The 26,009-nt window shown below is 53.5% G+C and overlaps 1 protein-coding gene and 2 long non-coding RNA genes across 4 annotated transcripts in view, besides 18 other annotated features; 1 reads left to right on the forward strand and 2 right to left on the reverse strand.

Moving 5' to 3' along the window:
- Positions 30-675: an enhancer, noted in NCBI's record as "H3K4me1 hESC enhancer chr8:22551227-22551872 (GRCh37/hg19 assembly coordinates)". NCBI's record gives its function as "activates a minimal SCP1, AML or CMV promoter by ChIP-STARR-seq in naive H9 embryonic stem cells {active_cell/tissue: H9 hESC(naive)}" and the evidence as "EXISTENCE:reporter gene assay evidence [ECO:0000049][PMID:30033119]".
- Positions 508-617: an enhancer, noted in NCBI's record as "active region_27085". NCBI's record gives its function as "activates an Ori minimal core promoter by ATAC-STARR-seq in GM12878 lymphoblastoid cells {active_cell/tissue: GM12878}" and the evidence as "EXISTENCE:reporter gene assay evidence [ECO:0000049][PMID:35858748]".
- Positions 658-757: an enhancer, noted in NCBI's record as "active region_27086". NCBI's record gives its function as "activates an Ori minimal core promoter by ATAC-STARR-seq in GM12878 lymphoblastoid cells {active_cell/tissue: GM12878}" and the evidence as "EXISTENCE:reporter gene assay evidence [ECO:0000049][PMID:35858748]".
- Positions 868-1,087: a silencer, noted in NCBI's record as "silent region_19008". NCBI's record gives its function as "represses an Ori minimal core promoter by ATAC-STARR-seq in GM12878 lymphoblastoid cells {active_cell/tissue: GM12878}" and the evidence as "EXISTENCE:reporter gene assay evidence [ECO:0000049][PMID:35858748]".
- LOC105379321 (uncharacterized) lies at positions 1,173-2,648 on the forward strand. Its single transcript, XR_001745832.2, has 3 exons — positions 1,173-1,530; positions 1,760-1,848; positions 2,257-2,648. It is a non-coding gene; the product is annotated as an uncharacterized LOC105379321 (long non-coding RNA).
- Positions 1,218-1,797: a silencer, noted in NCBI's record as "silent region_19009". NCBI's record gives its function as "represses an Ori minimal core promoter by ATAC-STARR-seq in GM12878 lymphoblastoid cells {active_cell/tissue: GM12878}" and the evidence as "EXISTENCE:reporter gene assay evidence [ECO:0000049][PMID:35858748]".
- Positions 1,868-2,107: a silencer, noted in NCBI's record as "silent region_19010". NCBI's record gives its function as "represses an Ori minimal core promoter by ATAC-STARR-seq in GM12878 lymphoblastoid cells {active_cell/tissue: GM12878}" and the evidence as "EXISTENCE:reporter gene assay evidence [ECO:0000049][PMID:35858748]".
- Positions 2,649-2,922: 274 nt separating the features above from the next.
- LOC107986926 (uncharacterized) lies at positions 2,923-7,956 on the reverse strand. Its single transcript, XR_001745831.3, has 2 exons — positions 7,534-7,956; positions 2,923-5,149 (listed from the first exon to the last, which is right to left on the reverse strand). It is a non-coding gene; the product is annotated as an uncharacterized LOC107986926 (long non-coding RNA).
- Positions 9,789-9,838: a silencer, noted in NCBI's record as "silent region_19011". NCBI's record gives its function as "represses an Ori minimal core promoter by ATAC-STARR-seq in GM12878 lymphoblastoid cells {active_cell/tissue: GM12878}" and the evidence as "EXISTENCE:reporter gene assay evidence [ECO:0000049][PMID:35858748]".
- Positions 9,969-10,088: a silencer, noted in NCBI's record as "silent region_19012". NCBI's record gives its function as "represses an Ori minimal core promoter by ATAC-STARR-seq in GM12878 lymphoblastoid cells {active_cell/tissue: GM12878}" and the evidence as "EXISTENCE:reporter gene assay evidence [ECO:0000049][PMID:35858748]".
- Positions 11,493-11,582: an enhancer, noted in NCBI's record as "active region_27087". NCBI's record gives its function as "activates an Ori minimal core promoter by ATAC-STARR-seq in GM12878 lymphoblastoid cells {active_cell/tissue: GM12878}" and the evidence as "EXISTENCE:reporter gene assay evidence [ECO:0000049][PMID:35858748]".
- Positions 11,603-11,832: an enhancer, noted in NCBI's record as "active region_27088". NCBI's record gives its function as "activates an Ori minimal core promoter by ATAC-STARR-seq in GM12878 lymphoblastoid cells {active_cell/tissue: GM12878}" and the evidence as "EXISTENCE:reporter gene assay evidence [ECO:0000049][PMID:35858748]".
- Positions 19,567-26,009, reverse strand: part of PEBP4 (phosphatidylethanolamine binding protein 4) — a 227,827-nt gene continuing 221,384 nt past the window's right edge. For both annotated transcript variants that reach the window (NM_001363233.2, NM_144962.3), the window contains exon 7: positions 19,567-19,852. In NM_001363233.2, coding sequence (NP_001350162.1) covers positions 19,686-19,852 — 167 coding nt within the window. In that variant the 3' untranslated portion in view covers positions 19,567-19,685. The remainder of the gene's footprint in view (positions 19,853-26,009) is intronic.
- Positions 19,861-20,060: an enhancer, noted in NCBI's record as "active region_27089". NCBI's record gives its function as "activates an Ori minimal core promoter by ATAC-STARR-seq in GM12878 lymphoblastoid cells {active_cell/tissue: GM12878}" and the evidence as "EXISTENCE:reporter gene assay evidence [ECO:0000049][PMID:35858748]".
- Positions 20,261-20,350: an enhancer, noted in NCBI's record as "active region_27090". NCBI's record gives its function as "activates an Ori minimal core promoter by ATAC-STARR-seq in GM12878 lymphoblastoid cells {active_cell/tissue: GM12878}" and the evidence as "EXISTENCE:reporter gene assay evidence [ECO:0000049][PMID:35858748]".
- Positions 21,228-22,031: an enhancer, noted in NCBI's record as "H3K4me1 hESC enhancer chr8:22572425-22573228 (GRCh37/hg19 assembly coordinates)". NCBI's record gives its function as "activates a minimal SCP1, AML or CMV promoter by ChIP-STARR-seq in naive H9 embryonic stem cells {active_cell/tissue: H9 hESC(naive)}" and the evidence as "EXISTENCE:reporter gene assay evidence [ECO:0000049][PMID:30033119]".
- Positions 21,585-21,664: an enhancer, noted in NCBI's record as "active region_27091". NCBI's record gives its function as "activates an Ori minimal core promoter by ATAC-STARR-seq in GM12878 lymphoblastoid cells {active_cell/tissue: GM12878}" and the evidence as "EXISTENCE:reporter gene assay evidence [ECO:0000049][PMID:35858748]".
- Positions 22,285-22,364: an enhancer, noted in NCBI's record as "active region_27092". NCBI's record gives its function as "activates an Ori minimal core promoter by ATAC-STARR-seq in GM12878 lymphoblastoid cells {active_cell/tissue: GM12878}" and the evidence as "EXISTENCE:reporter gene assay evidence [ECO:0000049][PMID:35858748]".
- Positions 22,395-22,534: an enhancer, noted in NCBI's record as "active region_27093". NCBI's record gives its function as "activates an Ori minimal core promoter by ATAC-STARR-seq in GM12878 lymphoblastoid cells {active_cell/tissue: GM12878}" and the evidence as "EXISTENCE:reporter gene assay evidence [ECO:0000049][PMID:35858748]".
- Positions 25,396-25,445: an enhancer, noted in NCBI's record as "active region_27094". NCBI's record gives its function as "activates an Ori minimal core promoter by ATAC-STARR-seq in GM12878 lymphoblastoid cells {active_cell/tissue: GM12878}" and the evidence as "EXISTENCE:reporter gene assay evidence [ECO:0000049][PMID:35858748]".
- Positions 25,466-25,755: an enhancer, noted in NCBI's record as "active region_27095". NCBI's record gives its function as "activates an Ori minimal core promoter by ATAC-STARR-seq in GM12878 lymphoblastoid cells {active_cell/tissue: GM12878}" and the evidence as "EXISTENCE:reporter gene assay evidence [ECO:0000049][PMID:35858748]".

Below are 26,009 nucleotides of genomic sequence, written 5' to 3' on the forward strand. Positions count from 1 at the left end.
GGGAGAAGAAACAAGAAGAATGCGAGAAGAGAGAGGAAAGAAGGATACAGCTGCATGCAAAGCGCAAAGCGCGTAGCGTGGAGTCGAAACACCAGTAACTCATTGTGTGTGTTTATTTGAGGTTTGCGTTAGGAGAGCGCATTGGGGAGAGGTGGGCGGTGGGGTGGGGTTGTTTGCAAGTGGTCTCCAACACCCCAGCAGTTAGAAAGAGAGTTGAAAACATCTGGCGAAATCCCTTTGCAGCCCGGGAACTGCTGGGGAACCCGGAAGGCGTGCGTTGCGCCCCTGCTACCTCAGCGGCTCCAGCGTTCGGGATCCTATCCGAGATTAAGAGAAAGGGAGTGCTTCCCTTTGTGGGGGGAAGGAGGGGTGCGCGCAGGGTTGGGGGGGTGTTTCAACTTGTCAGAATTCCTTGGTCCAATATCCCAAGAACTTTTGTGCCAACTTCACTCTGATTCGCCGCCCCTGCCCCTCCCTGGGCCCCTGACCCGGCGCTGACTCTAGGCTGAGCGCAGTGGCGAGGAGATTCGGAGCACCCCAGCAGTTGCGCCAAAGACAAGAGCCCCATCCATATGGGGTCGAGGATGTGCGGTTTTCGTGGTGAAGAGGAAAGAATGAAGTTGAAGGGATAGATAAACACGTGCACTGAATCCCCAGTAAATTCCCTAACGGTTCCAAGCAGCCTCTGTGGCCACAGGATGGCAGGAGGGCCCAGCAGGCCCGGGCGCAGTCGCTGTCTACTGCTGCCTGCGAAGGGCCCGCCAGAGTTCCAGAAGGAGGACGCCGAACCCACAGTCTCTGAGCCACTGGGGGCCTCCCCTAGTCTCTGCCCTCCCCCTCGCCTTCCACAGGGCTGTCCCCATTGCTGCCTGCCGGCGCTCCGCAGTCAAGGGCGGCCTGTGTGCCGACCCGGAGCGCTTTCACCTCCCGGAGCGGCAGCAGATCCCGGGGGCGGCTGCTGTGCTCCCTGGGGCCTGCTCCCGAGGCGCGCGCAGCCGGCCCGCGGGCGAGGGGGAGGAGAGGGCGGGAGCATGGGGGTGCGACCCCAAATCACATCGGCTTGGCGGGGGAGGATTCCCTCCTCGGTGGCCGCGTGGGCGCGGTGAATCCCTCGTCCCCTCCTGGGGAGTCGGGGTTGGGGGAACGTGCATTTCTCGGGGGGAGTGGGAGTGTTGACAAGGAAGAAGAGAGGATCCCCGGGCCTCACGCCGTGGGAGGGCCACGCGGGCCGGGGACGTGTGGGAGGAACTCCCGAGCTGCACGTTGTGGTGGAGGTGGATGACAACCTCGCTCCCCTCCCCTCCCCTCCACTCAGTGGAGGGCTGGGGACCGGAGGGCCCGGCCTCCCCCCATCTTCTCCAGTTCTTAGGAAAGGAGGGATTCCCGCCTCCCGCGAGCCCCCTCTCTCCACCCCCGCCGCCTCTCCCGCCAGGCTCCCCACTCCTATACTAGGGAGCCACAGCGCCCCCCGGGCTGTCCTCCGCCAGCGCGGCTCAGGGAGGGAGAGCGCTGCAGCGGTCCCGCGCTCCGGTCAGAATCAGGGCAGGCTGCGCCTCCCGCCCCCGGCTCCCTCCCTTAGGGGGGGCGCGCGGCCGGTCGGGGGGCGTGGGCGGCGGTGTGAGCCGGGCTAGGTGCGGGAGGGGCCCGGGCGGCTGCGGGGAGGGTCGCAGGGCGGCGGGCCAAGCCGGGAAGAGCCATACAAGGAGCGGATCCGGTGACGCGCCGGCCGCGCCCCTTCTCCTTCTCGATTTGGCTGCAGATTCCGGTCCCAAGATTTGCATATTTTGGCATCCAGTGGAAAAGGAAAGAAGAACGGAACCCGCAGCCTTTAAAGGAACCGCACAGGCTGTAGCGTCACCCAGGGAGGCGGTGGGGGTGGGGGTGGGGGCCTGAAAAATTAGCCAGCGGCTCTGGCCTCTGGCCGTAGAGCCCGGCAGCAGGGAGGGCCAGGGAGGGGCGGCAACCAGCGAGCTTCGGGCGCGCCAGTCCCAGACCTGGCCCCTCCAGAGTGCTTCCTGCTGCGCGTGCACCCGGAGGCTGCGGAGGGTCTCCACGGGTTCCTGCCTGGGGCCGGGAGACGCTGTGGGGTCCGCGGTCCTGGGCGAGCTGCAGGCCCGAAGGCTGCAGTGCCCATGTCTCCCCGCGCGAGGCAGAGCTCAGCCTGCGGGGGTGGTGGGAAGGAAGTGAGAGGCCTCCGGGCCGCCCAGCTCAACTCCGGAGGACCCCACCGTGATGCACCCACTTTCCACCTGTCAGGATCTCTCCCCAGGAGGGGCTGCAGAGTGAGGAGCTAGAAGCCCTTATCCTGTTCGACTGGGGCCTGAGTTGGGAAAGGCAGAGGCAGTGGAAGCATTTGGGATCCTTAAGCTTCCAGGGCCCCAGAGGCTGTGGAGTGCAGCCACTCCCAACTGGAGGAGACGGCCTCTCTCCCAACACTTTTCGGCACGCTGGACTTGTTGCTTCCAAGTAGAAGAGCATGGGGCAAGGTTTGCTGACCTGCACCAGGGCTTGCTTACCCGTCAGCAAGATTGGATAGGAGTCTGGGGACACGATTCCTTCCCTCTCCTTTCTACTAGTTCTTTGCATAAAACGGGAGCCTTCAATTCAATTAAAGTCTTCATTAAAGCTTCACTGTGACCTTGGGCAAACGTCTGTTTTTTTTTTCTTAGCCTCAGTTTCCTTGTCTGTAAATTGGGATAATAGTATCTACCCCTTAGGAATAATTAAATTAGATAATCCTCATAGAGTACTTGCCAGTCCCTTAAGCAAGCACCCGATAAACTGCAATTGTTGTTAAACTATTCTTCCCCACCCAGCCTTGTGACAGATATGCCCTTCCCTCTCGTGTGTGGCAGGAGTAAATTTAGATGATATAGGTAGTAAAAAAGGCCAGGTATGGAACTCCATCACAGACCAGCGTGATCATATGCAAGAAGTATTAATAATGTTGATTATTTAGGGGGGGAAACGAAATCTGTGTGCCTAGTATCTCCTGGGCACTGTCCCAATCCAGGGATGGTTAAGGAATGGTCCCCGGTCTGAAGGAGCCCAGACATGAACTGAGCTGAGCCCTCAACAGCTGGTGGTGACACAAGGCAGGGTTCAAAGAAGTCACTCAGTTGCTCTCTAACACTCTGGAGCAGCCTTTCAGACATCTTTTGGGGGTGGTGTGGCTCCTGGAATGGGAGGGAGCCTTCTTTCCTCTGCTGGAAGGAACCATGCTGGCGAATGCCTGCCCTACAAGGTTAGGCCCTCAGTGCCCAGTGCCTGTTCAGGTTGCAGCCTGCAAAGATGTCCCCTGTCATCCTCGATGATGGTGGCAGATGGAGTCCAGGGTTCTGTGGCAGGAGGGGACAACCCTGGGTGTGGAGCAGGAGTGGGGTGTTGGAGTGGCTGCTTTGTAAATGAATTCTCCCTTCCGGTTGCCAAGCCTTAGAATAGAAAAAAGTTTTCCTCCTTCCCTTCCTCCCTCCTGGTTTCCTCCCTCCTGGTTTCCTCTCTCCCTCCTGAACAGGAGCTGAAGGTGTTTGTCTGTTTTATTGGCGGGCTCAGGTGAGATTGCCAAGGGCCTAATTACCTGAACTCTAAGCCCTGAACTTGCTGGGGAGCGAGTAGGCACTGATTCAGGGCGTCCTCATCCTGGAGATGGTGAAAGGCAGGCCGGCTCCTCTGCAGCAGAGCCAGGGCTGCCAGCCCCTGGCCGCTCTCTCCTATGGAGTCCAACTCATCAGCTGCACTTATGGGGACTGCTGCTGCTTGTTATGGGCATGGGCATGTTTGTCTTGATTAAGGACAAAGGAGGAAGGAGATGTGGCCACTGAAATCCACTGTAGAAAAATGCAAAGTTACAGCTGTCTTGGTCCTTTTTTCTGTAGTCACCTCTGCCCTCTGAACTTTAGCTGCCCCGTTTGCTAAAGATATCTAGTCCTTCTCTGATATCTTATAATAAAGAACTCCCCATACCCTGAATTAATTCAGTCTGCGGTGTGAGCAATCTAACTAATGCATTGCCCTTCTCAGAGGGTGTTTGCATTTTAAAAGAAAACGCTTAGGGGTGGTAATATATAACCCAGAGGAATCAAGCCCAATACTCAGCGTGGTGCCTGGAAAGTGGTAGGTGCTCATGAATGCTGGTGAGATGACATCTGGTTGTGGCATATCAGAGTCAAGGAGTGGGAGACTTGGGGTGCAGAGAGTATCTCGGTTCCTCCAATCACACCAAGCACCTGTGTACGGAACCCACCCTGGTGGGACTGCTCCTGAATGGCAGTTCTCTTGAGGGTCCTCAGTTGCTTTCCATTTTGGGGTGTGCCACAGGGCTTCATAGGCGATGGACAAGTCACAGTGGAATCCTCCTGGCCAGTCCTGCCTAGCGTTCTAGAGGTCATTGTCATTTCTTGGATAATGACAGCCAGCTCAGAGGCTAGGCTGGTTTTGCCTAGAAGTTTTAGGAAGGGAATGCTGTTGGCAGCCCCACAGATTCCCACATGCTTCATGAAGACCTTGAAGCTGGTGCTCCTGGTGGAGTCGGAGCTGAGCCCAGTCCCGGGAGCTGCAGGAGCTTCCGGGCTCTAGCCATGGAAGATGGGGGCAACTGATATCTGATGCCTGCCTTGGCCAGGCCTTGTGGACACATTTCATTTTCTTCAGTTTTCTTTCTTTCTTTCTTTTTTTTTTTTTTTAAATAGTGTCTTGTTCTGTTGTCCACGCTGGAGTGCAATGGCATGATCATGGCTCACTACAGCCTTAATCTCCTTGGCTCAAACAATCCTCCTGCCTTAGCCTCCTCAGTAGCTGGGACTACAGGTGGGTGTCACTATGCCCAGCTAATTAAAAACTTTTTTTTTTTTTTCAGTAGAGATGGGGTCTTGATATGTTGCCCAGGCTGGTCTCCAACTCCTCGCCTCAAGTGATACTCCTGACTCAGCTTCCCAAAGTGCTGGGATTATAGGCATGAGCCACTGTTTCAGGCCATAATTTTCTTCATTCTTTACAACAATCCTGTGAGAGGAAGGCTTTAGGGCTGCCCTTTCAAGTCTTAAGAGTCCAAGTAGCTTACTGGAGGCTACCTGGCTGGTCTGACAGTTGAATTCGTCCTGTGTGACTTTAAAACGAATGCTCTTAACTCCATCCTTTGTCCCCATTGTGGCTGTCAAGGGAAAGAAAAGGGGTGGTGGATGTGGGTAAGAGGAGGAACCAGGATGAAGTCTGTGGAGAAATCAACGTGTGGGAGAAAGGCAAGCTTGAGAGGGGCACCCCAGCACGCCCTTGGACCCAGCATGGAGGCATGGGAGAAGCCATCGCCCAGAGGAGAATAAGGGTACTCACCATTCCCACGGGAATCAGGGAGGAACTGTTTCTGCCAGGGCCTCTCAGTAGGTGCAATGGCCACTGTGCCACTCTGCACCTGGCTATCCCTTTCCTAGGCTGTCTCGGAGGCCACCGGATCCTCTCCAAGCCAATTACATACGTCTCTTCTAAACACCTGTTTGTGCCTAAATTCAAACTAATGCATTATAATGATGTTGAAATAAGAGTATTTTTGATTACACTTTAAGTAATTTCAGGTAGAGTCCGGTGACCAAAGAGAAAAAGTCCTATTATATAGTAACATTTACTGGAGGGATGAGGTGGCTCATGCCTGTAATCCCAGCACTTTGGGAGGCCAAGGTGGGAGGATCACTTGAGGTCAGGAGTTTGCGACCAGCCTGGCCAAAGTGGTGAAACCCCATCTCTACTAAAAATACAAAAATTAGCTGGGCATGGTGGCACACTACTGTAGTTACAGCTACTTGGGAGGCTGAGGCAGGAGAATCACTTAAATCTGGGAGGCAGAGGCTGCAATGAGTCAAGATTGTGCCATTGTACTACACCCTGGGCAACAAAGCGAGACCTTGTCTAGGAAAAGAAAGAAAGAAAGAAAGGAAGGAAGAAAGAAAGAAAGAAAGAAAGAAAGAAAGAAAGAAAGAAAGAAAGAAAGAAAGAAGGAAGGAAGGAAGGAAGGAAGGAAGGAAGAAAGGAAAGAAAGAAAGAAAGAAAGAAGAAAGGAAGGAAGGAAGGAAAGAAAGAAAGAAAGAAGGAAAGAAAGAAAGAAAAAGTAACATTTTTTTTTCCTGTTTTTTTTTTTTTTTTAGATGAAGTCTCGCTCTTGTCCTCCAGGCTGGAGTGTGATGGTGCAATCTCAGCTCACTGCAACCTTTCACCTTCTGGGTTCAAGTGATTCTCCTGTCTCAGCCTCCCAAGTACCTGGGATTACAGGTGCCCACCACCACACCCAGGGCTTTTTTTTTTTTTTTTTTTGAGACAGAGTCTCGCTCTGTCACCCAGGCTGGAGTGCAGTGGTGTGACCTTGGCTCACTGCAAACTCCGCCTCCCGGGTTCAAGCAATTCTCTGCCTCCCGGGTTCAAGCAATTCTCCTGCCTCAGCCTCCTGAGTAGCTGGGACTACAGGTGTGCGCCAACATGCCCGACTAATTTTTGTATTTTTAGTAGAGACAGGGTGTCACCATATTGGCCAGGCTGGTCTTGAGCTCCTCATCTCATGATCCGCCAACCTTGGCTTCCCAAAGTGCTGGGATTACAGGTGTGAGCCACCGCGCCTTGCCATTTTTTTTTTGTACTTTTAGTAGAGATGAGGTTTCACCATGTTGGCCAGGCTGGTCTCAAACTCCTGACTTCAGGTGATCCGCCTCCCTTGGGTTCCCAAAGTGTTGGGATTACAGGCATGAGCCACCGTGCCTGGCCAGAAAAAGTACCATTTACTTTTCTGAAAAATCCACATTTACAAAGTGGATTGTCCTGGAGACTTCTTCTAAGATACAAGTCCAAGACAGCGAGTCACTGCCATGGGTAGTCCTGAGGATGAGAGTTTGGGGCTGGCTGGGCTGGGGCAGGGAGAGAAGGAAGATCTTAGAAGGTGAGACTTGTGCAAAGTGTGGTGTGTGGGTAAATGTTAGGTGTTAGCCCTGGCCTGGGAATCAGGAGTTCTGGGTTCTGCTATGAATTATCTATGATTTTAGGCCAAGGCCTTCTTATTCCTGGCCTTTAGGAAGGGGTTGGACTGGGATAAACTACCTCTAAGTTCCTCCCAGCTCTGTTCATGAGTTTCTGGTTCTATTGCAGAAGGGTTGAGAGGAGACGTCTGTTAGAGTTCCTAATGAAATTTAGGGGCTCTGTAGGGCTTGGGCTGGGGTCTTCAGGGAGAAGGAGGAGGGATGAGAGCTTGTAGTGGGAACTTCGCTGTCTTAGCTCAGGGGTTCAGGGAGGGTAAGTGGGGTCATGTGCTCCGAAGGTCCTGTCATTCCCCCTGGGGGCCCCAAGGAGAGCCCCTTCTCAGTCAGCAGGGACGGGCGTCTTTGCAGAAAGGACTCTCTGGGGATGGGGCTTTTTGGAAAGAGGAACTTCGTGATTTGAAATGAACCAGAAAAGGTGTGAGTGTGGGGGGACGGTGCAGGACGCAGTCAGGGGAAGCAAAGAGGGAGTGAGAGAGAAGACCGAGTATTAGAGACGAAAGAGATGAGAGCACGTTCTTACCTCCATTGCTTGCCACACAGCTGGCTTCTTGCTGGATAAAGGCTTTGCCCATGGGACAGACGCTGATCCAAAGGCTGGCAGATTCCTCTTCTCCCTGCCCTGTGAGAAACAGCTTCGGGAAACCAGAGAGAGTTGCAAACCCTAGATCAATGTCTCTTATCAGCTCTCAGCTTCAGGAGCCTACTCAGCCTAAAACAATCAGGTGCTGGCCTCATCCACCCAGGTGAGGAACTGGATGGAGCCCGACTTCTGGTTTCTTCTTTGCTGTTCTGTGCAGTCAAAACTCTGGGATCCAGGGAACAGCAGTTAATGACTCTTTGGGGCCCAGAATTGGAGCTCCTTGGTGGCATTTGCATCCTCTTTCACCAGATGACTTAGGCAGCGCTTCCTGACCTTTGTCATGCTGTAGTTCTCATAGAAAATGAAACTTTTTACAGCCACTGCAGTAAAGAACCAAGGCTGCCTCTGGCCCCTGAGGCCAATATTGGCCCAACTGGAATCCACTAGAGGGCTGCACGTTGGCTAGGAAGCTCTGACTGATGGCATGGGCTTCCCTGCCAGGGCTCATGGTGCATAGGCGAAGGAAGAGGGGCGTGATCTCTCTCAGACGCTGAGAATTATTTGGGTTGCTCATAATTACTTGGCCTAGGGTCACCCAGAAAGTTACTGAAGACAAGAGATGGTATCCAAGATCCCTAGCGGCAGGGACTGAATCTCACTCATCTTTGTCTCCGCAGTGCCTAGCACTGTGCCCGGCCCCAAGCAGTACTCAGTAAGAACTTGTGGACCCAATTCAAGTGTCCTAGTTGGTGATTCTGATGGATGATTGATTGGAGTAGGAGTCTAATCCACTTTGTCCTTCCCACCTGGTCCTTTTACTTCTATCCCCATGACCCCCGACTCTCCTAACCCTCACAGCACAGGATGGGGGGCCTCTTGACCACCAGAATTCCATTTTGCGGCGGGCGCAGCGTTCCCGGTCTAGGCCTTAGCTCTCTCATTTCAATGAGGGCAACATCTACGGAGAACTCCCGTGCATTCTTGGTGGAAGGAAACAAACTTGAGACTTGGATTCTGCTGTCAGGCAGCAGACAGTTTAATGAGAAGTGTGGAATGAGGCTCAGTGGAAATATCACATATAAGACATGATGCACGTCCAGAGGAGGTACAAGCAGGAAGTTCCAGTTGGTAAGGACCACCGCAGGCTTGGAAGAGAGAGATGTTCAGGGCGAGGGGAAGGCCCTATAGAAGAGGGGGCGTGTGACCAAGACCTTGAGGAGGGGCTGAGGCCATTAGAAGGGGAGAGGAGAGGAAGGGTGGGGGGTGTTCCATGTAAGGTGCTGTGATCATTTCCCCTCCTCTTTATGTTAACTTTGTTGTTTTCATCTCTGAAACTAGAACCCGTTAGCACTGTCCACCCGGGACTGTGGTGCCTGGCCTAGGCCTAGGCCTGCCCATCGCTTGTTGTCTGAACAAGGAACCCTGGAGGGAGAGGTGGAAGGCAGAAGGAAGCCCTGGACATACACTGGATCCCACATAGACATTTGGGCACCTACCAGAAGGTGAGCTCCAGGAAGGCTTGGGTCTGTGACCTTCACTGCCCTGCCTCAGCATCTAGCCCCTGGCTCTGGGGGAGCTCAACAATACTTGTTGAAGACTGAATGTGGCAGACACTCTTTCAGGACCCGAGAGTACTGGCAGGAACAGGAAAGGGGCTAACTCCAGGTATGAAATCCAGGAGAAAGGAGGAGCCTGCGGGAGTCCAAGGAAGGGGTGTCAGGGGGCAACATGGCTCCAAGGCAGGGGGCAGGGGGCAGATTAATCAGACCTAAACTCCAGTGGTAACAGCTCCGTTAATTGAGTGGTAATGATCCTTGGTACTTCTCATCTTCAAAGCCAGGAACAAACTGTAATGAATACTCTTGCCACCCGGGGGCAGGGTGCGGAGGGTGGTGGGGAGAATCTTATGCTACTGGTACTCAGTTGGGGAAACTGAGGCACTGGCAGAAAAATGGTCCTTAGGAGAGCGAATGTGAAGCCCAGCAGAGCTTGGAATCTTCAGGGGTGTCTTGAACACACCAGAGAGTGGCCCCTTCAAAATCCAGGCCCCTGGGGAGCCCAGGCCATGAGTAGGGAGGAAGGTAGTGCTGGAACCCCTTGCAGGCCTGACTAAAAGTTGCAGTGGAGAAGTCGGGTCTGCAGGAGGCTTGGCTGGTGTGCGCCGGGTTTCCCAGGGTGGGTCGGGGTGCCCGGGGCGTAGACCCTGCGGCCCTGCAGCACGCAGCCACGCTCTCCGCGTTCCAGGGGCGGCGCGGGAGTGGCGCGCGGCTGGGAGGGCACCCGGGCGTCCTTCGCGCCCAGCGCTGCATACTCACTGTGACTCACCGGCTGCTCCGAGATGCCTCCCGGTTTTCTCATCGCAGTCTGGCTGCTCTGAGCCCCGAGGGCGTTTTTCATTAGGGTGATTACCCTGCCGTCATTAAAAGCCGGTAAATAGCACCCAGGGACGAGGCCGCGCGGCCGCGTCTGAACCGCAGCCCGGGTTCACAGGCGCCCCCCGCCGCCCGGGCCGCGGGCGGCGCCGCTCGGCCTCCTCAGAGACTGGTTCGAATCCCTGGTGTCCGGGTGCCAGGGGGAGGCACCCCCCGCCTCACCTGGCACCACGCGGTGCCAGGTAGGGTTTGGGGCCTTCACAGAGTCAAACCCCAAGCATCCGCCAGTCTCCGCACACGGAAAAGTCTTCCCGGTGTACCCTCTTCCAGGTGTTACCGTAAATACCTCTCCTAGGTTGCCGGAAATCGTCCCCAGTTACCTTTCGACATTTAGTTGTGTATCCTTTGATAAATGTCTGTCTCACCCTTCTCCCCCAAAAGTTTTTTCCGCAAGGGCCAGAGCTCTGATTTTGTATTGTGTTCCTATCATACCCCCCAACTCTCCCTTCTGGAGGCCCACTGCACCCCGACATGACACCAGAGGCTGGGGTAGAGCCGCCGAAGCAGTTTGAATTTACAAGTGACGTGAGACAAGAGAACTGTCTGATGACCTCTCTTTCTCCCATTTTCCCCCAACATTTGAGAATTGTTTATTGTGCACCTACTGTGTGGTAAGCCATTGGGGATATGGCACTTATGAAAGCCAAGTCCAAGTCTTTCCGGGGGGGGACGTCCAGGTCTAATGAGTGTTCAGGGTGGACACAGACAAACACACATATGTGAGGTGCCGGTAAGTCGTGTGAAGATAAATAAATTGGGATAAGGGCAGAGAAGGTGATGGGGAGTACAAGTTGAGATCCTGTAATTCTTCCGCAATCCTTGCATTTTGGAGCTAGCATTGGTAGTCATTAAAGGACCGAGTCTGAATAAGTAGGTCTGTGTTTTGGTCCAGCTATGGCCTCACGTACTGGGTGCCCTTTGAAAAATTCTATGTAAACAGAATTTTTGTTAAAAAAAAAAAAAGCGTCAAAGTTCACAAGGGAAAGTCTGGTCTCTGAAGGCAAAGTCACCTGCGACATGTCCCTTACCCCCGGCATCAGCCCCTCTTCCCCTGGGTGGGCTTTGCCGCCCTGCCACCAGGTGGCCTGAGATGAAATTCTGACAGTGAGTGAGGACAGGGTTGTTTTCAGAAGCCAGCCGTGGGGAGAGATGGCAGCGGAAGAAGGGTGACTGCCGTCGCGCTGTGGGTCCCCCAGCCCCAAATCTCAGAGCCGCACTCCCCTCTCACACAAACACTCTCTCCAAGCGGTAGGAAAGGTGCTTCTAGACCCCAAACGAAAGAAAAAGTATGCCGCAATGGAAACTCGAACTAATCTTCCCCTCTTGCCCCACTTCCCTCCCGCGGTCACACTTCCGGCGGCCACCACAGGGTATTTTGGGTTTGAAAACAAAGCGTCAGATCTATTTGAGCAACTTTTGTTCCATTGGAGTAGAAGCCCAGGGGCCTGTGGCCGCTCTGGGCTCGGCCACTTCCCCAGGGAACTGACGCGTTTCCCCTTCTCTGCCAAGGTCCAATTTAGCAACTCAGACTGGCCACTTTTAGCTTCTCCTTTCCCTGGCCTGGCAGCAGGCAAGGGGCCAGAGGTAGGGCTGCTGGGGGGAAGGGCATGTGTCTGGGTGCCTTCCTGGTGGACTTCAGGGAAGGCCTAGTTCCCTTCTTCTGCCAGAACCTCCCCTTTACCCCCCAAAACTCCTCCCAGTCCCCCCTCCTCCATGAAACCTCCACTGCCGCTGTCAAAAATCCACTCGCTGCATCAGAAGATGTAAAGTGAGAGTTGTGGTTAGGCCTTGCCTGGTCCTCAGTCTAATCCACACGGAGGTGTGTCTCTGTATCAGTGGTGGGCTGGGGTGTGTACAGGTTGTGAACAAGGCGGGAGTGCATATATGGAGATCCCATGTGCATGCAAATTCCATGTCCGCATTTGTGGATGCTGAGCAATGCACGTGTACACAGCTTGCATGGATGTCTAGAAAGAGCTTGGCAGAGTCGATATCCTGGAGTGTCTAGCGGGTACATCCACCATGTGATTTTGTGTGGGCTGTTGTATTTACAGTAAGCATGTGCAAGTTGCATAGACTAGAGGTGTGTGTCAATGTGTGTACACACACTTGTCTACGTGTGGACAGGCGGGGCTTGCCTCTCAGGGGGTGGCGAAGGAAGACAGCTGGGCTCTGGACAATGGTGACTAGGGCCCATGTGGGCAAATACTGGGCTGTAGGTGCCATCAGCAGATCAGGGCTTGAGGGCAGGTTAGTGAACTGCAGGTATGAGCCTGGGGCCAGCAACTGTTTTGTCCTTTATTTTAGGCCTCTCTCCTCAAGCTCCCTTCTCCCTCAATAGGCTGCTACATCCACTCCCGTCCCCTCCCAGCTTGGAATGGTCCCTCCTCCCTTGTTAGCCAGCCTTCCTATCCCTCTCTTCTTACCTCTTGCACAGGTGTCACCATCAACACAACTCTTGGCCACCTCTGGGTCTGTCCATCTTCTCTCCCACCACACTGGAAGAGCAGAAGAGCTTCCAGAAGGCAGAGACCTAGGTTTCTTTTTCTTTTCTTTTCTTTTTTTTTTTTTTTGAGACGGAGTCTCGCTGTACCACCCAGGCTAGAGTACAGTGGTGTGATCTCTGCAAACTCCACCTCCCGGGTTCAAGCAATTCTCCTGCCTTAGCCTCCCAAGTAGCTGGGATTACAGGTGCCTGCCACCACGCCAGGCTAATTTTTATATTTTTAGTGGAGACGGGGTTTCACTATGTTGGCCAGGCCAGTCTCAAACTCCTGACCTCAAGTGATCCACCCACCTTGGCCTCCCAAAGTGCTGGGATTGCAGGTGTGAGTCACTGCGCTTGGCCAAGAAGGTGGAGATCTAAGTTTTTTTTTTTTTTTCTGTGGTGCATTCAATTATTGGCTCATAGCTGAGCCTCCCTAAGTCCTGCAGAAGCGCTGACTGTGCGCTGGCTTCACAGCCGCAGCATGTGTACAAAGTATTTGTTTCTTTACAGTGATTTGAAGGTGCAGGTCCAGCTCTTCTGGCATGCTGGTGGGTGTGGGGGGTCGTGGGGGTAGGGGGAGGGTGTTTGAACTTCCAGGGTGCTTCCCAGGCCCGCCCCTATGGCCCAGTCCCTAAGGGAAACACACTCAGCTGCTCTCCTGCTTCCATCATGGGACTGGAAAGCAAGGTTAGGACTCAGTGGCCTTGCTGCTCCTTCACGACACGGTCAGCCTCTTCTCTTTTACCCACCCCTCTCTGCCCAGCTGACTTACGCCAATGGTGTGGAGCCCAGCTCATGAGGAATACAGGGTGTGCTCCTGCATCCTGCTCTCCATCTCTGCGTGCAGACCCATGCCTATGCGCTCCTCCATCCTCCCTCCATGAGGTGCTAAGGGCCCCTGAATGGGTTTTCTCTGGCCTGGGTTTGGGGGAAACTGGCCTGTCTGCTGCTTCTGGGAACTCCCAGGGTCTTCAGCTCCCACATATGTAAACTCCTTTTAACCTAGGCCTCCCACTAGGGAGGGCTTTCTGGCTCCTGCAGCCAAATACACTTGGCTCTCTTTCATTCTGGATTCTGGAAATGCTTATTTTATCCATTCTAGTGGCTTCCACTCACTCTCTGCCCCAGCGAGTGGTCATAGCTTTCTCTGCCACTCCCCATATAGAATCGCAGAACATTCAGCTAGAGGAGGTGTCAGAGAATACCTGTCCCAAATTATTTTATCAATGAGGAAACTGAGACCCAGAGAGAGTGGCTGACTAACCTGGGCTCACACAGCAGTGAATGGCGAAGCTGGTACTGGAATCAGATCTTGACTCCTGGTCAGTGGTTCTTTTCAGGCTAGACAGCCATGTTTTTCTTTTCTATTTCCTTCTGTTTCCCACTCTTTCTCAACCTTTCCTTTACTATTAAAACATTTCCTTTTTTTTTATTTAAAATGTTCTGTGTTAAGCAGGACGACCTGTGCTTGGAGGCTCTGAGGTGGCACGTGGTGCTGAGACCGCTGTCCCAGCATGGGTTTCCTTGGTCCTTTTAAAAGCCCTTTGTTGTCCTTCATCCCCTAAGATACCTTGGGACCCTGTCCTCCCTTCTCCCTGAACCACCATTTTCAACTCTCATTTCTCCTTCCAAATACCAGGGAGGCAGCAGACAGAACCCCTCAAAAAATGGGCTCCTTTCACTAACCATACTTTTCAGGTCTTTCAAATGGAGAGTCTCAGAAGGAAAATATGGGCATTCGTGTGTGTGTGTGTGTGTGTGTGTGTGTGTGTGTGTGTGTGTGTGTGTATGTGTGTGTATCTCATGTGTCTCCCAGAAGCTCCTGGGGGTAAGTGGAAAAATTAATTAGAACCAGGATGAAAGGTGTTCTGGGATAATTGCAGGTAATATCAGGACAGCCAGGAGGGTGAGGCAAGAGGCCTCTAGATGTCCTGGGGACTTGGATAGGCCCCCAGCCCCACTCCTGCAAAGCAGATCAGACACCTGGGGAGGCTAGGGGGAGGGAGCATTCTGAGTGAAGGGTCTTTGTCTTTACAGGGAAATTCTTGTTAGTTGCTAAGGAACTGGGTTGTCTTTCCTGATCCAAGCCTCCCAATGTTTTGCTTAGCTTGGGAGGGGGATGCTGGGCTGAGGCTTGAGGCTCCCTTGGCAGTCGGTCCTTTCCCTGGGGCTGCCGAGCCTCTGATAGGTCTCTGGGGAAGGACTCTCTTCTGGGAGAGATGCTTCTTTCCCAATACCCTAAGCCTCACTGCTTGCTCCAGCCAAGCTGAGAACAGGTGAGGTGGAGGCAGGGAAAGAGAGGAACATGCACATTTACCGAACAGCCTGCACGCCAGGCATTGTGCTCAGATGCCTTCCCTGCTATCTCATTTAACCATTGCAACACATCTTTGGAGGAAGGCACTTATTTCCATTTATTTTTCATTATACTGGTTTTTTTTTTTTTTTTTTTTTTTTTGCAGTTGAAACACAGGTCTGGAGCAGTTGCCAAGGTCACGGAGGTATCAATGGTAAAAATTCTATGTGAATTCAGATCTGCTCAGTAAGAAAACTTGTGTTTTTAAATGGCATCACTGAATGCATGTACTAGGCTTTCTTCCTATCCCTTGGCTGCTGAGTGCTGACACCTGGACCCATTGCTGTCACCATTATCATCACCATCACCATCACCATGATCATCATCACCATCACCATCACCTCATCATCACCATTACCATCACCATGATCATCATCACCATCACCTCATCATCACCATTACCATCACCATGATCATCATCACCATCACCATCATCATCACCATCACCATCACCTCATCATCACCATTACCATCACCATGATCATCACCATCACCATCATCATCACCATCACCATCACCATCACCTCATCATCACCATTACCATCACAATGATCATGATCACCATCACTTCATCATCACCATTACCATCACAATGATCATGATCACCATCACTTCATCATCACCATTACCATCACCATGATCATCACCATCACCATCACCTCATCATCACCATTACCATCACAATGATCATGATCACCATCACTTCATCATCACCATTACCATCACCCATCACTATGATGATGATCATCACCACCACCATCACCATGATCATCATTACCATCACCATCACCATCACCATCACCTTATCATCACCATCACATCACCATGATCATCATCGCCATCACCATCATCATCACCATCACCATCATCATCACCATCACCATCACTTCATTATCACCATCACCATCATCATCACCATCACCATCACTTCATTATCACCATCACCATGATTATCATCATCACCATCGTCTCATTATCACCATCACCATCATCCGCATCATCACCCATTACCATCATCATCACCATCATCAATATCATCACCCTGGAGCCTTCCTAGGTGGCTTTCCCTTCTTTTCTACCTTTCTTCCTTACCTAAAAGCAGTTATTATACAGGAATGATGGGGAGGGAGAGGGGTCATTCAATGGACTAAGGATGGCAAACTGTTGGGATAGTGGCTGTGGGCAGGTGGGGAGGGACGGTAATGGCCTTGGGCTGGACCAGGCTATTGACTTGAGTATCCAGGAACTCTGGCCATCCCCACAAATCACACATGGCCCAGGATGGCTCAACCTGGAGTAAGGAAAGTCACTTGGAGAAGAGTCCCCTTAATTTATTCTGGAAATTCCGGCCGTCTCTCTTTGTCCCACTCTAGATCCTGATCTGGCTTTTATTTTATATAGCCAAGAGAGTAAAATTAGAGTCCAGTTTTCCTCTAAATACTACACCTGAGGAGGCTTGAGTTAACACCAGATTCCACCATGACTAGTTATGGAATAGGGAGTAGGTTCCTTAACTTACAGGAATGTCAGTTTTCTCATCTCTAAAATAAGAATAACATCCACTTTATTAGGGTGTTGTGACAATCAAATGAGAGAACATGTATGAAGGCCCCCAGAAGGCCATGAAGTAGCGTGGGGATGCATTCAGTGAGATACCACACATTAGGCATTTTGTGTAGAACCTGATATGCAGAAAGTGCTCGATAAATGCATCTGATTACAATGATGATAATAATAATGTCAGTTCTCTTTACCTGGTAAAGGGGTCGCTAATGCTCCCTTATATTTTTCTTAGCTGCTTCATTGGAGATCTCAAAGCAATTTAGCTGTTCATCTTGTTTCTTCCTGGAGGAGGTGGTGCAAAGAAAAGGGATGAGAGGCCCAAAGGGTTCTGCAGGCGGAAAGCGCCGTCAAGGCTGGGTTTTCCCCAAGGTCCCCATGGCCTCCAGGTTTCCCCTCTCCACAACTGGGACCTCCTTCCCTGTGGTTTCCAGGGATCGCCTGGCCAGGGCTGGCTTCAGCCTAGAGCCTGGGCCAGCTTTGTTCTTTTTTCACGTTTTGGGACCAGGAGGGTGGGGGTCTCTCCAGCAGCTAAACTCAAAGCCCAAAATGTCAAGTCAAAAGGAAGGAGGGGGTTGGGGGAAGGAAAGAAAGCAAGCCGATAATTTCCTCGAAGGATAAACATCCGATTTTTTTTTTCTTTACCCAAAATAAACATGCTAGCCACAATGAATTAAAAGCAGAAGAGGGGAGGATGTGTCTCAATTTGGGGCTGCTCTAGGAAGCTGACCTTCTATTTATCCTGGCCCTGGGCACCAACCGGAGCTGCCAATTACATTCTGAGTCTGGTGGGGTGGGGGCTGTGGGGGAGAAGGTCCCAGGGAATAGGGGACCCAGAAAGTCCCTTGCGAGGCTGCCTTCCATGGCACTGCAAATGGACACTTCGTTTTGCTTCTTATTTTAGGTCGGCTTGCAGGCTTGCAGGCTTGCCTGGTGGGGTAGAAAGAAGTGGGGAGGCTCCACAATTTCTCCTGCCTGGGCTTTCTTTTACCTTGGGCTGGCATAAAATGCCCTTCTGGAGCATCAGAATTTGGTGCCCATTACCTGGGCAGGGAGCTGAATCTATCAATGAAGTGGGCATCATTCAGTTCTCTCCCATTCACAAACTCAACCTCCAGCCCCGCTGTTTCTTCAGATCCCCACCACTAAAATTGTTCCACTAGTTAAAAGCGTGCTTAGCTGGGCCGAGGGGTCATCTAGGGCCCTCTGCCTTCCAGCTAACGAGGGGCAGGACTCTGAGATGATAAGAACCCTGTTCCCAGGTATAGCTTGTTCTTTTCATCTGGGGATCTCAAAGCACTTTGCACACATGAGTCACCAACATCGCTACATGCTAGCCAAGGAGACGGGGTTATTAACTCATGAAGGGAAACCAAACTGAAGGGGGTGTTAGGGGTGCTGAAAGGACTGGAATGGTGGTGGGGAGGCATGGGGCCTCTGTAACTTTAGGCTGGGAATGAGACTGTAGCAGGGAGGTGTCTCCCAGGGGTCCTTGGGTGGGGAAGTCAAGAGGCCTGCAGAGAAAGCCCAGGGAAGTTAGATGGCAAAAGTCCTTTCCTTGCAGATACCTAAGAATTTATTCACCGCTTTCTTTTCTTTTTTTCTTTCTTTCTTTTTTTTTTTTTTGAGACAGAGTCTCACTTTGTCGCCCAGGCTGGAGTGCAGTGGTGCAATCTCGGCTCACTGCAACCTCTGCCTCCCGGGTTCAAGCGATTCTCCTGCTTCAGCCTCCCAAGTAGCTGGGATTACAGGCGCCCACCATTACGCCGGGCTAATTTTTGTATTTTTAGTACAGACAGGGTTTCACGTTAGTCAGGCTGATCTCGAACTCCTGACCTCAGGTGATTTGCCCACCTTGGCTTCCCAAAGTGCTGGGATTATAGGTGTGAGCCACCGCACCTGGCGTTATTCACAGCTTTCTAAAAGCATACATCTGATTATGCCATCTGCCTCTCCAATCTATTTTTATTTTATTTTATTTTATGAATTTTTTAGAGATGAGGTCTTGCTGGGTTGCCCAGGCTGGAGGGCAGTGGTGCAATCACAGATTCATAGATCACTGCAGTCTCAAACTCCTGGGCCCAGGTGATTCTCCTATGCCAGCCTCCTGAGTAGGTGGGACTACAGGCATCCACCACCATACCTGGCTAATTTTTTATTCTTATTTTTGTAGGGATGGGGGTCTCCCTATGCTGCCCAGGCTGGTCTTGAACTCTTGGCTTCAAGCGATCCTCTGGCCTTGGCCTCCCAAAGCACTGGGATTATAGGCACGAGCCACCATGCCTGGCCCAATCTACTTATCATTTAATGATTTCCCACTGCTTTCTGGATACAATCCAGAGCTTTAACATGGCAACAAAGGCCTGGCATGGTCTGGCCTTTGCCCACCCGTCATACTGTTCTTGCCCTTTCATACTTTGCGGCAGCCACAGCATGGGCCTTTCATTTCCTGGAAGATGCCATGCATGCCCCTGCCAGCCACAGGGGCTCGGAGGAGCTTTGGAATGTTCTCTATTCCTGTCTCCACTCACCTGGTAACCCCTAGCCCACTTTTCAGCCCTGAAGTTAAACATCAGGGCTCTGCCTGAGTCTTCAACCCTTTCTCTCCGTCAGAAATCAGGCCCCCTTTGCACCCTCATCATACTTATCACAGTTTATCATTTGTTGGGGATATTTGCTTCCCCTGCTGGACTGGAAGCTCCATGAGGTGAGCACCATGCTGTGTCTGCCCTATCTACCCATGCATGGGGATGAAGCAGGCATGCATCTCCAGTGCCTGGAGGAAGGCCAGGTGCACCCCACATGCAACAATAGTCGCTGAATGAACGTTGTCGAATGTCAGAGCTGGAAAGGCCCGTGGTGATAAACCAACCACCCTCTCCCACTTCTTCCTACCTCCGTGTCACAACCAAGGGAGCAGAACTTTGGGGAGGGTAAGAGGTTTCCGTGAGGTCTCACAGCGACTCAGTGACAGTTCAGGCATAGGGATCACTATATCCTGCCTGTCCGTCTATTCCCCCCACTCCCCACCCAACCCCTTGCATTTACAGGAAAGCCTCAGTCCCCAGTGCTGGATATTGGCCAATTTCCTCCTGTTGCTTTTCAAAGGAATACAAGCTAGGATACAAAGCACCAAGCCCTGGATGATTTTTTTTTTATTTGGAAAAGAAGGGGTTCTGTATCCAGAGGGGGTTCCATACCCACATCGTCGGTGGTGGGCAGTGTGGCCACATGCCCGGATGGCAAAGCCGGCTATCTAGCAGGCAGCTATCTCCGCCTGGTTTTTGTGCTTGGGCTCGCTGGCCCTTTCTCTGGGAGCCTGGAGGGTTGGTGAGTCCTGGTAGTTCTGGGTCATGAACTGGGTGCTTGCTTCAGGTTCGCCCAGGTGGAAACGGTTCAGAAATCTGTCCATTTTCCAAGAGCCTGGAAGGACAAACAGACCACAGGGAGGCAGTGAGAAAGAGCCATGGACTTGAAAGCTGGCAGGGGCCTGAGAGGGAGGCCGGCTCGTGGGAGCCGAGGCAGCAGGTGATGCGATGGCCATGGGGCGTAGTGGCTGGGGGAGCTTCCGGCTCCTGTTGCAGAGGTAGCCCCCAGATGTTAGCAGAGCCTCTGAACAGCAGCAGAGCTGCCTGCTCCCCAGAGGGCAATGGGGACTGAGAGCCCAGCCCCAGTTGAGAATGTCTGAATCTCCTTCCCCAGCACCTCTGTTTAGCAAAACTGCCTTCTCGCTCCCGCTCCCGGGCAGAAAGGAAGCCCAGTCATGCGGGCTGCCCACTTCCTCTACTAATGCCCTCTCCCTGCAGGCTCCCCTGACCCCAGGACAGGAGGCTTCACCCACTACTTTCCTTCACACCTGCTCACCCCTGCTGCTGGGGCTGAGATTGGTGGAAGTATCTGTGCTCTTCTTTCAATCTTCTCCCCTAAACCCCAAACACCTCCTCGTCTCTGTCCCAGGACAGGGGGTGCACCAGTGTGCCTTCCCCATGGCAGAGGTGGAGGGGCAGCCCCTGGACCCTGGCGGGGGAGCTGGGCCTGCAGAAACCCAGACGGTGCCCAGGTCGGAGGGGTTCCTCCTCAGGGGGAGAAAACACAAGTGTGTACAGGGAGGCGCATCTTCTGGGGCAAGTGTGAACAGGCCTTGTGGCAGGGCAAGAAGGGCACAGCCTGGGGCATGGAGTGAGGCTGAGGGAAGTGGTCAGAGGCATATTCCCACGTTCTTGTTTCCCAAACCCTGGATGTCAGGCACCCTGGGCAGATGCTTGCCAGGAAAAGGCAGGAAGTAGTTTAATTTGAATCTCAGATAAATAGCAAATCGCTTGTTGGTGTGAGCGTGTCCCACATTCTGCATGGAGCATCCTTACATGAATTTTTTTTTCCGTTGTTTATCTGGAATTCAAATTTTACTGGGCATCCTACTTTTTGTTGTTGTTGTTGTTTTGCTAAATGCAGCAACCTCCCAGGGTGGAGAGAGAGTGCCTGGGGAAGATCCTGTCCGGAGCAGAGCTAGGCAGTGGTCGATACACAGTGGATTAATGGAGACCAGTCACCTCTGATACCCAGACAGAAGAGGGCAAGGGGTTGGAAGCTCTCAGAACCCCACTTGAGACTCACGGGCCACCCACCCTCCCACCTGCCTGTCTCCTCGGTCAGCACCCACCACCCTTTTCATAGCAATTAAGATAGCAAGCCCATTGAAGCGTTGCTGCCTCCCAGAGGCTGCTGACATTTCAAAGATGTTCTCAAGGAGAGGATAATTTTTAATCTGAAACCCAAAATAACAATAACAATAATGCAAACAATAATAGCAGTAACACCCCACCTATGTGTTGGTACTACTGTAAGAGCTTGACACATAATTCGCTTAATCCTCACACCAATCCCAAAAAGGGAGGACTGTTCCCATTCCCAGTTCACAGAAGGGATGACTGAGGCACAAGCTGGGGTACTGGCAAGGAAGCTTCGTAGTGGCAGGGATGGGGAAAGGCCTTTGCAGATTCCCTCAAATCCTATTCGACTCAGTGACTGCATGCTCAGATGGGGCCCAGGGGGGCTGGAAAACAAGGGGTTCCAGGAGTTCTTTTGCAGAAAGGGTGGCCAAGGTGCTGAGAAAGCCTCTCCCGGTGGAGGTGTACTGACTGCAGCCGGGTTCTCCTAGGAGGCTCAGTGTCACCTGAGTGTCCTTTCAGAGGGGCTGTGCCTGAGCCTCTGCACCCTAGGAGCCCAGCTGGCTGGAAGGAAAGGAATTATGGTATTATGACCCTGGGAACGAGTGTGTGCACACACATGTGTATGTGTGGGTGCACGTGTGTGTGCGCACGCGCACATGCCAGGGTAATACGGGCTTATGGGTGAATTGGTGTGTGGCAGGAACAGGGACGAGGGGGCCTTCCCCACCGTAGGGCAGGAAGGAACCTGCACGGCAGGAAGGGAATTGAAACCCATCACGAGGCTGGGGCAAGCTGCGGGGAAGAAATCCCCTGAGTCCAGAGCGAGAGCTGGCTCCCCTCAATAGTTCGGAAGCCTCTGAGCCTTCAGTGCCCTGGGGCACTCGTGGTTCCTTTCCAGTCCCAAGTCGACAGCCCTGTGGTTCTCGGGCTCCCTGGCCAGCTCCTGAAACCCAGTCCCCGTGCCGGCTAGCCTCTTGCTGCCTCCTTTCCTGGCTTGGCCGCAACTCCTTACACCCCCTGTTTCCTGCCACAGAGGGCAAGTTCTAGAAGGCAGAGGGGGTGAGTCAGGCCCTTGGGGTGTGTGGGGAGAGCTGGAGAGCTAGGAGGCTGCGGCTTCTGTGGTCACCGCTCAGAGGAAAGCCCCTTCCTGTATGGCACTGCTGTCCCCGAGAGGCAGAGAGTCCGCGGCCAGGCAGGAAAAGGGCAGCGCTGCTGTCTGTGCTTGGGCCACTCCACTGTATCCTGGATGCACCTAGGCCAGGCTCTTCCTGGGACGAGGGTAGGGGCAGTGTGGGCACTTCAGAGGCCTTGGTGGTGGGAGGCCTTGGCTGAAGGGAGAAAGGAGGAGGAAGCTGTCTGATGCCTGTCTCATGAGCCACCTGCCCTGTGGCTGGGACACAGAGGCCTGGGCATCTCAGGACAGGGCTGCCACATATGATGTACAGGTTGATCCCTGCACAACCGTAGGGGGTGCTGTTCTCATCCTGCATAGCCAGATGCAGCAGTCCTGGCACTCTCACTTACTGGTCAGTGCTGATAGGAAAGATGTTAGTGATGAGAGATGTTAGATTTCAGCGATGTTCCAGATGGGGGCCAAGGGGAGAGCCTGATAACCTTATCTAAAGCCACTGGGGGATTTCTGGGCCACCACTCTGTGCCTGGCCTCCTATTAGGCTCTAGGGGGGAAAGATGTCCCCTGTCTTCAGCAGCTGGGGAAGGGGCTCCTCCTCGGAGCTTTAGTCCCAGGGACTGTGATGATGGCAGGAATGTTTGGAAAAGGCCCTGGGGCAGGTCTTGACAGTCACTCTCTCCACCCCAAGCTTCCCAAATCTGTGGGGTTGGCTTTCCACTGTTTGGGAGTGGTTTGTCACGTGCTGGACAAACTCTGGACGGCTCCATTGGGCCAGTTAGGGCTAAGCAGGCATCTGAGAGACTGAGAGGTGCTCTGCCACATCCAGCTTACCCTGGCCCCCTTGCAGGACTTGGTAGAATGGGGGATCGGCTCCCCTGCCAGAAGTGCAAGCTCTTAGATGAGGTCAGACCCCAGGGCCCCTTTAACACTGGCAGCCATCACCCTGGTCCTCTGCCAGGCATGGGGTCAGCGGAGCTGCCTTATTTTACCCCCTGCCCTTGGCGAGTTTCTAATATAATACAAGTAATACTAACCTAATCACAGTCTGGTCCTTCAAAGGGTGGCCTTGGCCAGCAGTAGAACTTTGTAGTCTGGGTCCCTAGCAGACAAGGTCCCCACCCCTAGTGACACCCCTGGATTCCCTTCGGCAGGACCATTCTCCAGGCTGGGGTGCAGTGGCACTATCACCTCTCATTACAGCCTTGACCTCCCAGGCTCAGGTGATCCTCTTGCCTCAGCCTCCTGAGTAGCTGGAACCACAGTTGTGTGCTACCACACCTGGGTAATTAAAAAAAAATTATCTGTAGAGACAGGGTCTCCCTATGTTGTCCAGGCTGATCTCAAACTCCTGGCCCAAGTGATCCTCCTGCCTGGGCCTCCCAAAGTGCTGGGATTACGGGTGTGAGTCACTGCACCTAGACAGGCCCACTCTTAAGACTTCCCAACAGCCGAGGACAGCAGTTCCTGGGTGACCCTGCTGTAGCCAAGGGACGTTTCCCACCTGACTGGTCCTTGGTCCTCAGTATTTCCGTCCTGATGTATTTCCATCCTGATGTACTTCCCTCTTAGCCTGGGAAGTGGGGTAGGAAGCTGAGGGAGGGAGGCTCCCCCCACCCCAGCTCCATTCTCCCATGGGCCCCCGTTCAGGTGGGCTGGAGAACAAGGAGTGGGTTGCTGAGACCTTGAGGTTGGAGCTGCGGCAGCCTCTTGTCCCAGGGCGGTCTCTGTAAGGACAGGGGCCACTGGTTCTGGCTCCGGCTCCGAACAGCCCTGTTCCTTCAGGTGGTGATCTGTATCTACCCAAGGTGATCACCCTCTTCCCTGGCCTCGCTGCCTCTCCTCTTAGGTAAGGGCACCACTGCTTCTTGTTGGGGGATGGTGGCCCTGAAGAGAAAAAACAAAAACTCAACTCCAGCCTAATAACCGCCCCACAGAGAGCCCGGCTCAGGTCTGTAATTTGTCTGGCTCGTCACGGGACCGGCCACATTGATAGAAGCACTGATACCTTTCTGCCGAGATTAATGATGTCCCGGCGGTGGTAGGCGGGAGGCCTGAGACTTTTATTTTTTGTGCCATTAAATGACATCCAGAGACTTCCACTCAGGACCTGAAAAGCCCTCGTTCCATCACATCCAATTACTCCGGGAGGAGATTTGCTGAGTGGCTGATACTGCGGGCTCCAGAGGCTTTCGGGTAGTGGGGGGCACTTTGACTTTGGCAGGAGTGAGAGGGAGGGGATGCCAGCAGAGTTTCGGGGTGGTGAGGGGTGACCTGCGTCTCCTCTGGAGAGAGGACCCAGGAGGGCTGAAGAGTGGAAGCTGGTTCTAATTATCCAGCCAGTGCATCCCCTAGGCCTCCTCCTCCCTTCTGCAGCTGGGGTTGGGGCAGGAAAGGGATCAGGAGGATGGGAGACTTCAAGCTGCCAGTTTAGCTTCCAGTGATAAATTCCAATATTTGGTAGTGGCAACAATTGGCTGGAGTTTGGGGTAGAATCTGGGGGCTTATCTGTGTGGTTTCTTCACGATGTGTTCAACATTGCTTGGGATGGCTGATGTTCGGCTGGACTGGGACTTGCTTCTTGAGGAGGTCCGCCTGGGGCTCATGGAGATTTCAGGCAGTTCCCAGCCTGGGTGCCTGTCTGAGTGTTGCCCGGGATGGCCCCAGCTGGGTGGCTGCCAGGCCCCCAGTTCTACCCGCTCGGCCAGGTGGGTGGGGCCCTTTGGAGGAAGAGCGCCTCCTGCCACAAGCCCACACAGTGATCAGGGGCTGGGCCCTGGGGGATGCTGGGGCTGGGCCAGGTGAACCACCATGGGAGGTCACGAGGGTGGGCTGAGTGTGTTTGTGTCTGTCTGTGTGTGCGCTGGTGGGGGGCAGTCTGAGGGCGGGGGCTGGTCTCCAGGCAGGGCCCCCTTTCCTCTCAGGCCTCTTCCCTCCATGCTTCCTGACACCATGTGCTGCTGTGTTCTGCTACTAGGCTGGTGGATTTCCTCCCAGCCTCATCCCTCTGCAGCAACATCTCCTACTCTTGAAGCTGCGTGGGGCTCTGCTGCCCTTGGCCCCATGATTCCCCTTCTTTCTCACCCACCGAGGCCTGCATGCCTTCAGATGCCACAAGCAAGACTTCAACCCCCTATGTGGCAAGTCCCTGCCCGTCTCTCCTCTCTGACCCCTGTGGGTGGGTGGTTCCACCTCTGAGCTGCCGAATTTGGGTGCCTGTGGTGCTAGGGAGCGGCTTATGGCTGCCTGGCCCAGGACTCCCATTTTGCAGTGAGCAAGTTTCCCCTCTGAGGGCCCTGAGGCTGCCCTGGAGGTGGTGACCCAAGCCTCTCTTGCCCGTTAGTTTCCAGCACGTTGACACCATCCTGGGCGCTCGGCCTTGGAGTGGCTTCTGGAGCAAGCTGTGGCATGTCCTCTCGTGGGGCAGAGAGGGGATTTCCCCTGCTCGCTTGCAAGAGGAGTGTGAGGCTGGCTTGTGACACCTCTGGGTGAGGTGACCGAGGTGTGGTGTGGCACAGACCGCAGCTCCCCAGGATTCTGAGGCTCAGCCACAGCCAGGGAGGGGGTGTGTGCGTGGACCATTCTGGGCAGCTGCTGCTGGCCAAGGAGGCCTGGGACAGCAGGATGCAACTGTGCTCTGTCTGTATCCCCACTGGGGCCCAGAAGTCTGGGTCAGGAGAGCGGGGATGTAGGCAAGGCGGTGGCAGGTGCAAACAGCCCTTCCCTGGAAGTCAGAAGAAAGTCAAATGGCTGTTAACTGTGGACGCCCTTGGTAAGTCAT

The sequence above is a fragment of the Homo sapiens genome, chromosome 8, assembly GCF_000001405.40.
Source record: "Homo sapiens chromosome 8, GRCh38.p14 Primary Assembly".
NCBI lineage: Eukaryota > Metazoa > Chordata > Mammalia > Primates > Hominidae > Homo > Homo sapiens.